Consider the following 14,077-nt stretch of genomic DNA (forward strand, 5'->3'; position numbering starts at 1 on the left):
CTGTGAAGTTGGGCCAGGTCCTTGGCAACTTTGATGAAAAATCAGCAGCACAGGACCCCAGTCTGGAGGCAGCTGAGGCTGGGTCCCTAGGCCTGCTCCTAGGAGAGACACACCCTGCTCGCAAGGGACCAAGGGCGGTCTGCGGGGTCTGACCCTGGTCTTCTTACACCCCAGATGGGGTGCTTTCGGAGGATTTGTTTGTTTACTTGTTCACCAGATATGAGGTGCTAGTGTGTGCTGTGAATGCACTAAGCACAGCAAACGTAGCAGCGGACAAAGGTGTGGCCCCCTGGAGCTCATATTCTAGTAAGGGAGGAGATCAAGCCAGAGATGAATGGGTGCTGTGATTCAGGCAACAGCAAGAACTGCCTGAAGGAAAGCAGCGCAGTGGCATGCTGTGGTGGGCTGCCGCCACAGGTACAGTGGTCAGGGGTGTCTTCCCTAAGAGCAGATATTGGAGCAGAAACCTGAAAAAAATGGGAAAATGCACATTCCAGGTGGCAGGGGCAGCACGTGCAAAGCCCCTGTGGTGAGGGCGCGCCGGACAGACATGCTCAGGGCACAGCAAGGGGCCTGCAGACTGGCCCATGTAGGAGGGGGTCAGTGGACCTTGGGGTGGATGCTGTGTTTCCCTCTAGGAGGGAGGGAAAGACTGCAGGGTTTGAACAAGGGCACTGCAGTCTGGCTTCTGCTTCAAAGGATCGCTGCAGCTGCTGGGACTGGGCTGGGGCTGGGGCTGGGGGGCTGCCAAGGAGCACCTGGGCAACATTAGAAAGCCACTGCATCTGTCCAGGAGTGACCATGCCAGCAAAGGAGGCTGCCAAGGATGAGAGAGGCAGCCCCTGGGAAGCTCCTGCACTCCCCAGACAGGCCACAGATCCTCTGCCCCAGCCACAGCCCCACCTGGAACACGCCTGCCTGTGCTGCAGGTGGGGGAGAAAGAGGAGTCTTGAGAGTTAGCCCAAGCCTGAGCTCTGAGTACTGGGCAGACCCCAGACTCCCTAGGCAAGCAAGAGGGACCGGCAGTCCCAAGTTCTTGAATTCTAGGTGGGAACTCCATGTGCACAAAGGCATCGGGGCAGGGAGTGCCTGAGACAGTGACCAGGATTTCAGTGGCACATGGCACTTCTCACCTTGCCCAAGCTCTTATATCTTTTGTAGACCCTTTGTCTAGTTCGCTGGCTCTTCTTTGAATTTATTAGCAATGAGCAGATTAGTCAAGAGACCAAAAGAGGGAGGGAGGCGGAGAATTCGCTGCTGGCTGACGGGGCTTTCCCTCCATTCAGATGCGGCCAAGCTGGGGGAGGGTGAACAGTGGGCGGCTATGCTGGGGGCACACACATCACCTGTGTAGGCATGTCTGGCCTGAGTCATGGAGAGCCAGCCTGTCCCCAGTACAGCCAAGCCCCCGACCTTGTCCAGGCAGGTCCTGAGGTCAGGGCCACCTGCTCAGCTTTCCTCCCTGTCCCCCTTCACTCGTCTTCCAGGGTGCAGTGCACAAGCACCTCCTCCAAGAAGCTCCATTGCATCTCCTTCTGCGTCCAAGCCCGAGCCCCTCGTGGCCAGGGCTGTGTCTGCTCCATCTTCCTCTGCCTGGCGTCCAGGGTGGGGCTGGAGGGCAGTGGGTCTCCATGAGTGAGCCATCCCCACAAGCTCTCTCCACTGAGAGGCACCCGAGACCAAGAGGCAAGAACAGAACCCCCCATAGACCTTTGAACTCCATAGATCCATGCTGGCCTCTCCTTCATAGGAAGCTCAGTGACACATCTGTGCTTGTAGAGCACCAGTGAGTATCAAAAACAGCTCTGGTTTCTGCTTGTTTGTTTTCCTTTTTAGCAGATAGTGCAAGGTCATATCTGGAAGCTGTGTGTATATTTGATAACCTTTGGATACACTATTTTCTCTGTGGATGGCAGGATGTTTGAACCTAGAAACCCCATTTCTAAGTTACCATGAAATCCACATTGTGCAGGGTCTTCCTGAGTGCTGCCAGGGATACAAAGAAGTTTCCATGGCGTCCCTGTTCTCACAGGGCTTTTAGTGCCAACGAGGAGAGAGAAATGGGATTTGTGAATCTAAAATATGGGTCAGAAATACTGCATGATTCCCTTATATAAGGAATCTAAAATAGGCTCATAGAGGCAGAGAGTGAAAATGGTGGTTGCAGGGACTGGGGCAGGGGAGGAGGAAGTGGAGAGTTGCTGTGCAGCTGATATAATGTTTCAGCTATGCAAGATGAGTAAGTCCTGGATATGGGCTGGACAACGTTGTGCCTACAGTGAACAATACAGTATTGTGCACTGAACAGTTTGTTTAGAGGGTAGTTCTTATGTTAAATGTCCTTATCACAATAAAACATAAATAATAAAATTAAATGTTGGTTGAGATGGCAATGAGAGAATGATATTCAAAGTTAATTGTGGGAAGACTAGTGTCAGAGCACATTAGGAGTGTGTAGTTTCGAGACTGCGGCTCTGGGTAGAGGGCAGCTGAGGTTGCTGGCAAGTATTCTGGCAAATGACTCAGCTTGGCCAGGCTTACACACAGAGTGACCGGGATTGGCACAGAGGCCTGGGGTGGTCTCGCAGAGACAGAGGCCTGGAATAGGTCAGAGGCACTGAATCAAGGGCCCAAGGGGTGCCAACCAGCACTACTAGCAAGGTGCGTGCAGAGGACTCTGTTGATTAGGGCCCCAGGTTGGCAGCAGGAGAGAAGCCATGTCACCTGCAGACCTAGGGAAACCGAGGGAGGTTGGGGACATGGGATGAAGGCTGTTGTAGAAATTCTGGTATGGGATATAGGGCTAGTGATGTCTAAGCAGTGGTGAGAAAAGCAAGACCCTTTGTCAGCCCTGGCAAGTGGACGCTGCTGCTGTTGGAAGGCACCGGGAGAAGGGTGAGGCTGAGACACAGCTAGGACAGAGAGTGCCCACTTCTCCTCTGGTGGGTGTGGGACCCTGCCGGGCCTGGTGGCCATAGGACCTGGTGGCGCAGGACCCCCTCCCAGGTGCAGTGTGGGCAGAGAGGTCCCCTGCTTGGCATGAGCAGACAGGCTGTGCGTCCCTGGAACCACTTCTTCACCGCGGTGTGGACGTGCCTGCCGGCCAGCAGCTGGCTTCCTGTGGGACACCTGACTCAGCCACTGTGTTCTGCGCTGTGCCCCTGGCCAGGCATGAGCTGAGCACATCTCAGGCTCCCTCCCACAGGGCCTGGTCACACGCCCCAGGGCACGTAGTGGCTGATGGTCCTTCCTGAGGGGATGGGGCCACTCAGGAGGAGGGATGTGCAAGGCCTGAGTGTTCAGAGCATCCCATCCCTAGGGGGCACAGGGAAGGTAGGCAGCTGCTCTGGGGGAAGGGCTGATGTGTGGACCCCCACAGGAAGAAGGGACTCTGATCATCGAGGGGCTCCTCAACATTGCCTGGGGGCTGAGGCGGCCCATCCGGCTGCAGATGCAGGATGACCGGGAGCAGGTGCACCTCCCCTCCACCTCATGGATGCCCAGACGGCCTAGCTGCCCTCTGTGAGTACCCGGTGGCTTCTGTGACACCTGCTCAGCCTGAGCTCCCGGGTTGGGGATATCCCGAGCCTCAGGGTGGGAGCCCTGTTCCCTTATGGGACACTGGCACAGGAGGGTGACCCAGCCTCATCCCCATGCCCTGTGACTGCCTCAGTCCACAGCCTCGCCCAGGGTGGCCTCTCCCTCCTTCCTGGAGAACATTCCAGGCTCCCATGACCTCTATTTCTGTTTCTCAAACCTTCCTGCAAGCCACCTTGCTGGCAAGAAGGGACGACTACAGCCAGGGGGGCTCCCAACACCTATGCAAGCCGAACATGTCTCGCCATCTCTTGTTCTATCTTTAAAATTCACACGAATTTAGCCTCTTACTACTCTGTTTTCATTTTAATGTCAAAATTTTAAAAATAAATTTATCAGAATTTCACATTACATTTGTTTAATATCAGAATAATGTTTCTGTCAGGAGGAAATGGTCTCCTGCCTGCCTTACCATTCAATGCACATTTATCTCCTCCTCGGCCCACTCCCAAAAGACGCAGTTAGTAGCTGGGCCTTGCCTGCTTCTGCAGTAGTAACTCCTGTAGAGGGCACACATTCAGAGCTTTGCCCCCTTCAGATTTCATATGAAACCCATGCTGTGACAGCACCCACCACCCTGACAGCCCCAGCACATACCTAGGTGTCCCCAGTCACTCAGCGAATTCTGAGGCACACAGAATTAGAGCATAAAGTCAGACTCCTTAGGAAGGCTGCAAGTGTGACTCACATGTGCCCCTCTTCGAGGTAAAGCACTCACAGACAGCAGTCGCGGCTGTGCCCGTGTATTCTCCAGGATCCCATCTGTCTTCTCTTCCCCAGGTCCCCTGGGCTACAGGGCTGTGCCCCATCATACCCACTCCTTCTCCAGCCCAGCACTAGCTACCCTGGCCTGGGGCTCATCCTGCCAAGAGGCCTGGAGGTTGGGCCCTTCTAGGTGGCCCCTGCCTGACACCCCACTAGGCCTTCGGGAAGCCCAGCGAGCCTGTTTGGCACACAGCTGCTGGCCTGGCTAAGCCTGGTGTCTAGGAATGCGCAGGCCCTGACTATGTTCATGTGTCCGTGTGTCTGTGCGATGCAGCCCAGCACAAGCCCTCAGGTCTGCAGGGCCAGGCTCACTCTCCGTCCAGCAGATGCTGGGGGGAGGCCTCTACTTTTCTTTTATTGTTTCAGACTGACTCTCTTGGTTTGAAATCCAGGCCTCACCTCAGCCTGCCTTGCTTCCCGCCTGTGTCCTACCCCAGGGGCTGCTGGTCTCTTCTCCTTGGCCTGAGCTCCCTTTCTCTGCCGGCAGCCATCTCAGCCCTGCAGTTGTCTGTTTTCAGAAAGGAGCCATCGCCCCAGAACGGGAACATCACAGCCCAGGGGCCAAGCATTCAGCCAGTGCACAAGGCTGAGAGTTCCACAGACAGCTCGGGTAAGCGGAGCCCGCAAGCTGCCCAGACCCCTGCCTCATCCGGGGTAGGAGCAGAGGGGCTTGGCTCACAACCACAATCTCCGAAGGACAGCTTTGTGCCCCAGCCAACGAGGGGCTTCACCTGCTGGACCCCTACCCAGGTGCCTGCCTGTGAGGTGCTCTGCCCTCATTCTCGCTCCTTTTTATGGAAAAGTGAGCAGAGGCTTGGGAGGTGACAGTGACAGTGTGGGGGTGGCCTGAGTCCCCCGCCCTGTGTGTGCTATGGGAAACAGGAGCATCCACAGAAGGCACTGCGCTCTCCTGGCCCCTCACCTCCCTCTGCGACCTCGTCCTCACCCTCTGTACCTGCTCACTCATCCTTTTTATTCCCCTTCCTTTAGCCCTCAGTGAAGGGCCTGTTTCAGAGCAGGGGCTCAGAAGACAGGGCTGGGGCCACCAAAGACCTCCATGGGCACCCTAAGACAGAGACCAAGAGGGGTATGGCCATGTGACATTGTGACCCAGGTTACCCTGTCTGGGTCTCACCTTCCTATCTGCAAGCTGGGAATATCCAGCCTCCAGTCCAGGAATGGCCCTCACGTCCCCATCTGCCCCAGTGCACGTGACCACAGGGCTCTAGGGTGCCAGATCTCCCGACAGCAGGCAGTTGCTCTGTCAGCATCACCCACCCTGCCATTCTCTCACCCATTTCTCATGCAGGGCCCCTGGAGGAGGCAGAGGAGGCCCCCCAGCTGATGCGGACCAAGAGCGACGCCAGTTGCATGAGCCAGAGGAGGCCCAAGTGCCGCGCCCCCGGTGAGGCCCAGCGCATCCGGCGACACCGGTTCTCTATCAACGGCCACTTCTACAATCATAAGGTGATGCCCCAGCCTGGCCTCTCCCCTGGGCGCATGGGGAGCCAGGCCTGAGCACAGGCACAGCAAGCACCATGACCTGTGTGGGGGCTGCTGGCATTCCTGTGCCCTCAGGAGGAAAAACCAGGTTGCATCCACATAACAGCCCCGTTTATGACCTAAGCATTTTCCAGCACATGCTCACTGTCAGTGCATCCTCACAAGTCACACAGAATTCTGGCAAGTAAGCTGGGGATGCCCTGGGCAGACAGTAACGCTGACCGTGTCTTCAATGAGGGCGCTTTCTAGGAGGCTTCCCCCCGAACTCGATTGGTTGATCCCTGGGAACACTGTGTATCCAGCCATCACTCTCACCGAATAATTAAGCAGGGGTGTGCCCAGGGCACATGTGTCTGTGCCCCAGAGAACCTGGACGACCCCAGATTCCCAGCACACAGCCTTTTGTCCAAGGATGCATTGTACTGACCTCAGGAAAAGCTTTCTTTCCCCAAATTACATCATTCTATAAACAAACTGAACTGTAGCAGGAGAAGTTGATTGTTACTGTAAATAGAATGATTGGCTGTCTGGGCAAGGCCCTGGATGGAGCGTCTTGTGACAGGCCATATCTTTCCCTCAGCACTGGGAAATGCAAGCCGAGATTTCCAGTTGAAGCAGCTGCCCTTCTTGATAGAGGATGACTTATGGCAGGGAGGGGGCTCAGGAGGAGGGTCTCAGGGTCCGATCTGAAGGAGCAGGTGTCCCAGGTTAGGCTATCCAGGGGCCATTCAAGCCACACTTAGGGTGCCCTGGACTTTGGAATGTCTACTTTGGAATTCTGCTGGGCAAGCTGAAGGGACCCTGCTTTAATCTCAGGATCTCCCTTCCACCCCCTGCTAGGCTTGTGGTGAGTGAATGAATGACAATAGGGTTGCCTTTGCTAAATCTGGAAAAATCCAGGACTATTCCAAAGTAGAGTCTCCTGAGAGAGTAAAGGGGACCCAGGATTGAAGTTAGGCAGAGATTAACAAAGGTGTAGATTAGCCCAAGGACACATGACATGACTTGAGTATTCTTTAAATCTTGTTCCAAAAGGGGTTTAGTGTGTAATGTGTTGGGTACCCATTGTTAGCATTCAAATAAATGTTGATATGCTAGTGTAAGGAATTATTCAAAAATTTTCCAAAATATGTGCGTGGGTTTAGGTATTTTCCAGTTCTATGTTCCTTACCAAAAAAAGGGTGGGGGCAGGGATGTTTTGCTCCATGATTCAAAGTACTGAATGGTGGAGTTTAGCATTGGTACATTCGCTTCTCCTCGAAGGGTCTCATTCATCACTAAGAGGTGTGTCTGGTACATTAAACCTTATTGTAGTGATTGCCAGTGTCATAGGAACACTGAGCTCTCTGCATGTCCTGAGCACTCTGCAGCCTTTGAAATGAACAGTGAGGGTTTTCATCGCAGCCTCTCATTTCCAACTGAACCACACTATCAAGAAGAGCTACTCAGCCAGACAACATGGGGTCTCAGCCTGTCACCCAGTGAGGGCAGCTTTTCCTCCTAGTGACAGATTTGCCCTTGCAATGTGAATCCATTCTTCCAGAAAAAAGTACTGCTTTCAAGGACACAGAATAGTGTCTTAAGCATTTGGGACAGTAGCTCCCCCACCTCCTGGGTAAGGGAAGTCCCAAAGAAAAGCACTATGCAAAAAGCCCTTTCTTACCACGCTCAACATCCATACAGAACTAATGTCCTTAGAAATGAGGGGACAGATTCCTTGAGTCAGAGGCAACAATTGAAAAAATAAATAATTCCTAGCATTGAATTTCTGAGATAGTTCCAGGTTTTGTTTCTTAGAACTGTGCACCATTACTTCACTCAGTCATTTTCCAAAACTGTTCTGATTCCCAGAAATGTTGGTTTTATTTCCAGACAGGGTGAAACTTTGTAGCTGTTTCTACTGCCTGACCTATTGGATTCAAATGCGTTCTGTTAGAGAGAAACCATTTGTGGTTAGAGATAAGAAAGTAGCCAGGGGGCCTTTGTTCCTACTTGGAGTTGGTTGGTATCATCTTGAGAAAAGGCTTCGTGCAGAAGAAACACAGTGTCTTGTTAACAAGACTTTTTGTCCCTTTGAAATAGCCTAACTCCTCTGTTTCATGTTTCTTTTTTTATTTGAGATGGAGTCTCACTCTGTAGCCAGGCTGGAGTGCAGTGGCACGATCTGGGCTCACTGCAACCTCCACCTCCTAGGTTCAAGCGATTCTTCTGCTTCCTGAGTAGCTGGGACTACAGGTGCGCACCACGATGCCTGGCTAATTTTTGTATTTTTTGTAGAGACAGGGTTTCACCATATTGGCCAGACTGGTCTTGAACTCCTGACCTCGTGATCCGCCCGCCTTTGCCTACCAAAGTGCTGGGATTACAGGCGTAAGCCACTGCACCTGGCCCTCTCTTCCATATTTCTTTGGACAAGAAAGCCTAATCCTAATCCTGGCTTTCTGTATAACTCAGTCATTCTGCACCTCAACTAGAATCGAGCTGGGGGAAGCAGGTCGAGGTTGAGTCTGACTCTGGCACAGCGTGCTTCATTTTATTGTGCTTCTTGTTACTGTACCTTGCAGATTTTTGCAAATGGAAGGTTGCTGTTCAGCAACCTTCCATTTGCAAAAATGTGCACTTTTTTTTTTTTTTTTGCTGCACCTGCGGTTTCTGCAAATTGAAGGTGTGTGGCAACCTTGTGTTGAACAAGTCTATCGGTGCCGTTTTCCAACACTATGTGCTCACTTTGTGTCTCTGTGTCAGATTTTTTAGCAATAAAGTAGTTTTAATTAAGGCATGCATATTTTTTAGATGTAGTACTGTCTCACCCTTAAGAAACTACAGTATAGTATAAACATATCTTGTATATGCCCTGGGAAACCAAAACATTTGTGTGACTCACTTTATTGAGATATTCGCTTCATTGTGATGGTCTGGACCTGAACTCACAATGGCTCCCAGGTGTGCCTGGACTTATCAGAGCGGGGATACTGAATAGGTCCTTGAGCTCTCTGAGCCTTAGCTACCTCCTTGGGAAAACAGAGCTAGGATCTCAGAGGAGGAATATGCGAATCTAAACTTGAGTTTGAAAAGCAAGGAGAGGTTCACCTGCAGAGGAGTCACATTCGCTGGGAGGCACCAGCACCAGGGGGGTAACATGTAGGTTTTCAGGAATCATGGAATCCTTTGAGTCAGGGCTCTGTCTTTTCTAGGTGGGTAACTCTGAACAAGCTGGTTAACCTCCTAAAGCCTCTGATTCCTTTCTAAGAAAAGGGGACTAGTTATAGCTGCCTCAAAGGGTTGTTATGAATATTAAATCAATGATTGTATGTAAAATCTTAGCGGGTTCAATACACAGCTAGGGTTTATTGAGGACGGACCTATTATGTGTCAGGCAGAGTCCTGGTTGATTTCATATATGGTGTCTCTTAGGCAAAGGCAAGATACCTGCAAAAATATAATGTGTCCCCCCACCCCCCAGCCAAATTGTGAAGAAGCTCTGTGACTGGAGCACATGGTGCTTGTTAGGCAACCATAGTGTCATACGTGCGAGACAATGAGAAGAACTACAGATGTTATTGCACAGTCCCCAGGAAGCCTTCAGATACTTTTAGACCCGCGCTTTCAAACAGTGCTTCTCACATTGAACTGCACAGATCGCTTCGCCTTGTGTTCTACAGACGCAGACTCTGATTCAGATGGTATGGAGCAGGGTAGGGAAGGGAGCCGAGACTGTATGGATGCAGCTGGGCTAGACGTCACTTGGAGGTGCAAGGGTTTTAGAAGTCCGTTCCTGTAGGCAGCGGTGCAGACTACGGATTAGAGGGACTGAGACCAGAAGGGAACAAGCTGGGAAGCTGATATGGTGTGATCAGTGCCTCTACTAGGCACTGCTGGGAGAATGAAGAGGAGGAGACAGATTGGGTAACTTTCAGCCTTAGAATCAACAGACAACTGGTGACTTAATCAATAGAAAGAGTGATGGAGAGACTGATTCCCCCACCCTTGTGAATGACTTCCATGGCCCTGGTTCCTCGGGTCCAGAGAGCTGGCCCTTCTGGGTGTGTAGACATCTTCCTTAGGCCTCTGGAAGGAGTGCACTACTACAGCTTCCCGGAGTGTCTCCCAGGTCTGGGAACAGCTTATGTGTGCATCAGCGTGAATGGACAGGTGCAGGTGTTCCCAGATCTCAGCGTCACCTGCTGCCTTGGTCTGTTCACCGTTGTGATGTCAGTCCCTTGTCCCCTCTGGGCCTGACCTGAACTTCTCTCCCTTCCTGGTACAGACCTCCGTGTTTACTCCAGCCTATGGATCCGTGACCAATGTGAGGGTCAACAGCACCATGACAACCCTGCAGGTGCTCACCCTGCTGCTGAACAAATTTAGGGTAAGCCTGGTCAGGAGCAGCCTTGCCCCAGGATGCCAGTGGTCTGCTATTCTGTTGGGGGTGGGGTTCTGGGGAAAGCTGCCCGTGGCAGAAGCTGCCTGGGCAGAAGGTCTAGCAAGGGTCCCTCTGCTGAGCTTTGGTTTCTCGGATTTCAAGCAAGAGGAGGTTGGGAGAGGACAGGTTCCTTGCAACTTGCGTGTGTGTTACTGGGGGTGTAGTTACTGTCAGGGGACCCTCTCAGTTCTCTCCCATCTCCAAGCACCGTGATCTGACTTCCTGTGACTGCCTGTGCAGGTGGAAGATGGCCCCAGTGAGTTCGCACTCTACATCGTTCACGAGTCTGGGGGTAAGTACCTGCCCCACTTCTGGATCGTAAAAGCAAAAGGTCTCTACCTGTTCAGCAAGCCCCCTCCCCACCAACCACTGACTGTACTCCCTTCCAGATGGGCTCCGTGCTGGCTTGCCTAGTGGGCTAGGGCACACTGTGCCTCCCAGCATGAACATTTCTCCCCCACCCAAACCCAGGCACACTATGGAAGCCTTGAGGAAAAGAAAACATACTTTTGGCTTCGAATTTAAAGCACATTAAAATGTCCTTGGATTTTCTAGGTCGCTCAGTACATTAAGTTTAATTCTTTCAGGATTCTGAAGGAGAATCCCACCAAGCTATAGGAAGCCTCCCTCTCCGCCTCTTCCAGAGAAATGGATGGGTGGGTACCTAGCTCCTTGGCGCCGAGTCAGGAAGGGTGGGGTGCGTGTCGCAGTGCATCAGGCCCTGGCCCTCCCGTCTCAGCTTTCCTTTCTCCCACCCCTCAGATCTTGTTTCTCTTCAAGCTGCACCTTTGCTGAATGACACTGTAGGGGAGGAAAATTATCTTCTCTTTCTACCCATTTAGGTTCACTGGCTGGGGCCCTGTATTTAGATTAACAAAAGACAGATTAAGGAGAAGAACAAACAGAAGTTTGTTAACACTTGCATCATGCATGCCCTTTGGAATATCCAGGGATGAATGGTCAGAATTTGGGCTTAAATAGCATATTCACAAAAGAGCAGTAAGTTTTTAGAGAAGTGACAAGACAGAGGAGAAGGGCCTGAGTTTCTGGGGAGGCGAAGGGTGGGAAGGTCACCGCACGGGGAGCTGCGGGAAGGGAAGGGCTTCAGCGGGACGTGCTGTGCAGGTTCCTCTGGTGCCCTCTCCAGGCTGAGGAGGGGCTCGGGTTGTCTCTGGTGATTAACTCCATCATTGCCTAGAGAGGGACGGGGGCACACCTTGACAAATTTATGTCCTGCTTTTTGGCAAATAGGGGAGGGCAAAGAGCCTCACTTGTATCTTCTTCTTCTCAATTGCCAGCCGCTCCACTTAATCCTTATGCCAAAGTGGCAGATCTGGGGGCCCTGTTCTGCCTCCCTTCTGCATGAGCAGGAATCTCTCAGGGCAGCGCTGTTAGCGAGGTCTGTGTTCTTAGGGTTCCCTGCGCCCCTAGACGCACATTTTCTATCAGTTCCTAATCTGGAACAGACAGAGGTGATCCTAATCTCCCGTGATTTTTGTAAACCACCTTCTTTTTCAGAGCGGACAAAATTAAAAGACTGCGAGTACCCGCTGATTTCCAGAATCCTGCATGGGCCATGTGAGAAGATCGCCAGGATCTTCCTGATGGAAGCTGACTTGGGCGTGGAAGTCCCCCATGAAGTGAGTGGGGGCCAAGGCTGGGGAGGCCTGCTCTAGGGTGAGGGGTTCTTGGGTGACGGGGCCTCCCAAGGACTCCTGGCCAGAGCCCTGTCAGTTGATGTCTCCAGGAGCTCCACACTCTCCCAAAGGGCTCCCAGCCTAGCACAGGGAGGCGCCAGCCCTCCCTCTCCCATCAGTGACCGCCAGCACCAGCAGCTTAGGGGAAAGAAGAATTTGGGTCCTATAAAACCATGGCCTGTCCTTTTCCTCTAGGGAAGTAAAGTCTTTTCCTTCATTGGAATGTATTTTGTTGTCATTATGTGAGAGACCTATGCAAAGGCTTTTTAACTAGGCCCTACCTCGCACCTGTGGAAAACAGGGAGATATTTAAGTCTTACCAACAGCCTGAGTTCTGACCAGACAGTGAGTGCATTTCCAAACTCCTCTGCATAGAAGATGCTTACAGGGTTTGAACCTCAAGTAGGAGGCCTAGTGACCCCGTATCCCTCAGGCTGCTGCAATTGCATTCCATTGTTAGAAACAATGGTGCTCCCACCTCCCTACCCCCTAGCCCAGAGGGCACCCAATGTGACAATGCTGCTGTACTGAATGCTCTTCCTAATATTCAGTTTAATATTTCCTCCCAGGGATAACAGTTGCCTTTGAGATAGTAATAGGCTCCCGTCCTGGCATCTGTACACAACACAGCAGTGTGGGGGTGGGGTGGGAAAAGCGGCAGCTCCTTCTGTGGATACAAGATGTTGGCTGGATGGGCCACTATGGAAGCCTTGAGGAAAAGAAAACATACTTTTGGCTTCGAATTTAAAGCACATTAAAATGTTCTTGGATTTTCTAGGTCGCTCAGTACATTAAGTTTGAAATGCCGGTGCTGGACAGTTTTGTTGAAAAATTAAAAGAAGAGGAAGAAAGAGAAATAATCAAACTGACCATGAAGTAAGCAGCACTTAAACAGACAGTCATGGGTCCTGAACATCAGGGCAGGTCTGCAAAGCACAGCACCAGTGCCGGCTGGGAGGTCTCTCTCCTCCATGGGCACCAGTACCCTGGTACGGGAAGGCCTGCTAACCCTAGCTCCCCAGCATCACCCTCTGGCCCCCTGCTCGGTATTGCCACCACGCTGGGGTGACAGCTTGCCAAAACAGTGGGACACAGCCCCGATCACCCATCCAGTCTTGGCATCCTCACCAGCGCAGGCATGAGCTGCAGAACACCTGGCAGGAAAGTCAGGCAGGAACCCAAGTGGGCGCTGGGTCAAGCTTCTGAGTTCTGCTGGTGATGTGGCTCCAAGGAGCAGGCATGCTGAGGCAGACTTGGCCTGATTAGGGCCTTTTGTCCTAGTGGGAATTCTGAGCCTTCCCCAAAGTGGCAGATGCTGGAACTCCCAGCCTCAGCCGATGTTTTCAGGTGCAGAGGGCTAGTTCAATGAAAAGGTGAGCAGGTCTCACCTGCCAGCTCCTGGGGACACCACGCCAGGGTCCGGATGCATGAGTTAGCCAGGCTGTAGTCCCAATGACGTCTCCCCCTCAGCAAAGTGAAGTGTGGTCCAGGACTTGTGGAGGGCACCCCACCAGGGCTGGTGGGGAGGCAGCTAGGAAGGAAAGGGCAGGAGCTCACTGAGAGGGCCTGGGGTGTGTGGGGAAAGGATGGATGTTAGCCTCTGGTTGAATGACCCGTGGAAAGCCACATCCTCCACAGGCTCCTGTCTGTGCAGCCAGACCCCAAACAGGCAGAGGAGACCAAAGTCAGAGGGAATCTTCCATTCTGCAGTCAGTCCTGACCCCGTAAGATTTGAGAGCTGAAAGGGATCTGGGGGGCAACTAGTGGGTCCACTCAACGTACAGAGTGGACGCTGAGGCCCAGCACAAGGAAGGTTGCCGCATAGGTTATGGCAGAATCTGGGCTGAAACATGGGCTTCCCGATCTCTGCTCTACCGCCCTGTCCACTCCAGTGTGCTGTTGTCTGTATTAGAGTCTGCAATAGAAATGACAACACTCTGCTCTGATGCTCTGTGCAGTCCACAGCCTGGTTTGACTGCACCTCATGAGGCGCAGGCCACAGCCTTCCCCCTCCTTGGCAGAGGAGAGATGAGGCTGCTGCAGGGATCTCCTGAGCTGGCCATCTGCAGGTCCCTTGCTCTGCTGCCCACCT

General features: G+C 52.5%; 1 protein-coding gene across 1 annotated transcript in view, besides 7 other annotated features; it reads left to right on the top strand.

The window, feature by feature from the left end:
* Positions 1-14,077, top strand: part of RASSF4 (Ras association domain family member 4) — a 36,090-nt gene that overhangs the window by 19,340 nt on the left and 2,673 nt on the right. The window contains exons 4-10 of the mRNA NM_032023.4: positions 3,380-3,522; positions 4,881-4,972; positions 5,672-5,829; positions 10,133-10,234; positions 10,529-10,580; positions 11,807-11,928; positions 12,764-12,861. Coding sequence (NP_114412.2) covers positions 3,380-3,522; positions 4,881-4,972; positions 5,672-5,829; positions 10,133-10,234; positions 10,529-10,580; positions 11,807-11,928; positions 12,764-12,861 — 767 coding nt within the window. The remainder of the gene's footprint in view (positions 1-3,379; positions 3,523-4,880; positions 4,973-5,671; positions 5,830-10,132; positions 10,235-10,528; positions 10,581-11,806; positions 11,929-12,763; positions 12,862-14,077) is intronic.
* Positions 564-1,267: an enhancer, noted in NCBI's record as "H3K4me1 hESC enhancer chr10:45475153-45475856 (GRCh37/hg19 assembly coordinates)". NCBI's record gives its function as "activates a minimal SCP1, AML or CMV promoter by ChIP-STARR-seq in naive H9 embryonic stem cells {active_cell/tissue: H9 hESC(naive)}" and the evidence as "EXISTENCE:reporter gene assay evidence [ECO:0000049][PMID:30033119]".
* Positions 1,268-1,969: an enhancer, noted in NCBI's record as "H3K4me1 hESC enhancer chr10:45475857-45476558 (GRCh37/hg19 assembly coordinates)". NCBI's record gives its function as "activates a minimal SCP1, AML or CMV promoter by ChIP-STARR-seq in naive H9 embryonic stem cells {active_cell/tissue: H9 hESC(naive)}" and the evidence as "EXISTENCE:reporter gene assay evidence [ECO:0000049][PMID:30033119]".
* Positions 1,418-1,487: an enhancer, noted in NCBI's record as "active region_3320". NCBI's record gives its function as "activates an Ori minimal core promoter by ATAC-STARR-seq in GM12878 lymphoblastoid cells {active_cell/tissue: GM12878}" and the evidence as "EXISTENCE:reporter gene assay evidence [ECO:0000049][PMID:35858748]".
* Positions 4,761-5,261: an enhancer, noted in NCBI's record as "H3K27ac-H3K4me1 hESC enhancer chr10:45479350-45479850 (GRCh37/hg19 assembly coordinates)". NCBI's record gives its function as "activates a minimal SCP1, AML or CMV promoter by ChIP-STARR-seq in primed H9 embryonic stem cells {active_cell/tissue: H9 hESC(primed)}" and the evidence as "EXISTENCE:reporter gene assay evidence [ECO:0000049][PMID:30033119]".
* Positions 11,861-12,552: an enhancer, noted in NCBI's record as "H3K4me1 hESC enhancer chr10:45486450-45487141 (GRCh37/hg19 assembly coordinates)". NCBI's record gives its function as "activates a minimal SCP1, AML or CMV promoter by ChIP-STARR-seq in naive H9 embryonic stem cells {active_cell/tissue: H9 hESC(naive)}" and the evidence as "EXISTENCE:reporter gene assay evidence [ECO:0000049][PMID:30033119]".
* Positions 12,582-13,083: an enhancer, noted in NCBI's record as "H3K4me1 hESC enhancer chr10:45487171-45487672 (GRCh37/hg19 assembly coordinates)". NCBI's record gives its function as "activates a minimal SCP1, AML or CMV promoter by ChIP-STARR-seq in primed H9 embryonic stem cells {active_cell/tissue: H9 hESC(primed)}" and the evidence as "EXISTENCE:reporter gene assay evidence [ECO:0000049][PMID:30033119]".
* Positions 13,084-13,583: an enhancer, noted in NCBI's record as "H3K4me1 hESC enhancer chr10:45487673-45488172 (GRCh37/hg19 assembly coordinates)". NCBI's record gives its function as "activates a minimal SCP1, AML or CMV promoter by ChIP-STARR-seq in primed H9 embryonic stem cells {active_cell/tissue: H9 hESC(primed)}" and the evidence as "EXISTENCE:reporter gene assay evidence [ECO:0000049][PMID:30033119]".

This window comes from Homo sapiens, chromosome 10 (assembly GCF_000001405.40).
Source record: "Homo sapiens chromosome 10, GRCh38.p14 Primary Assembly".
In the NCBI taxonomy this organism is placed as follows: Eukaryota; Metazoa; Chordata; class Mammalia; order Primates; family Hominidae; genus Homo; species Homo sapiens.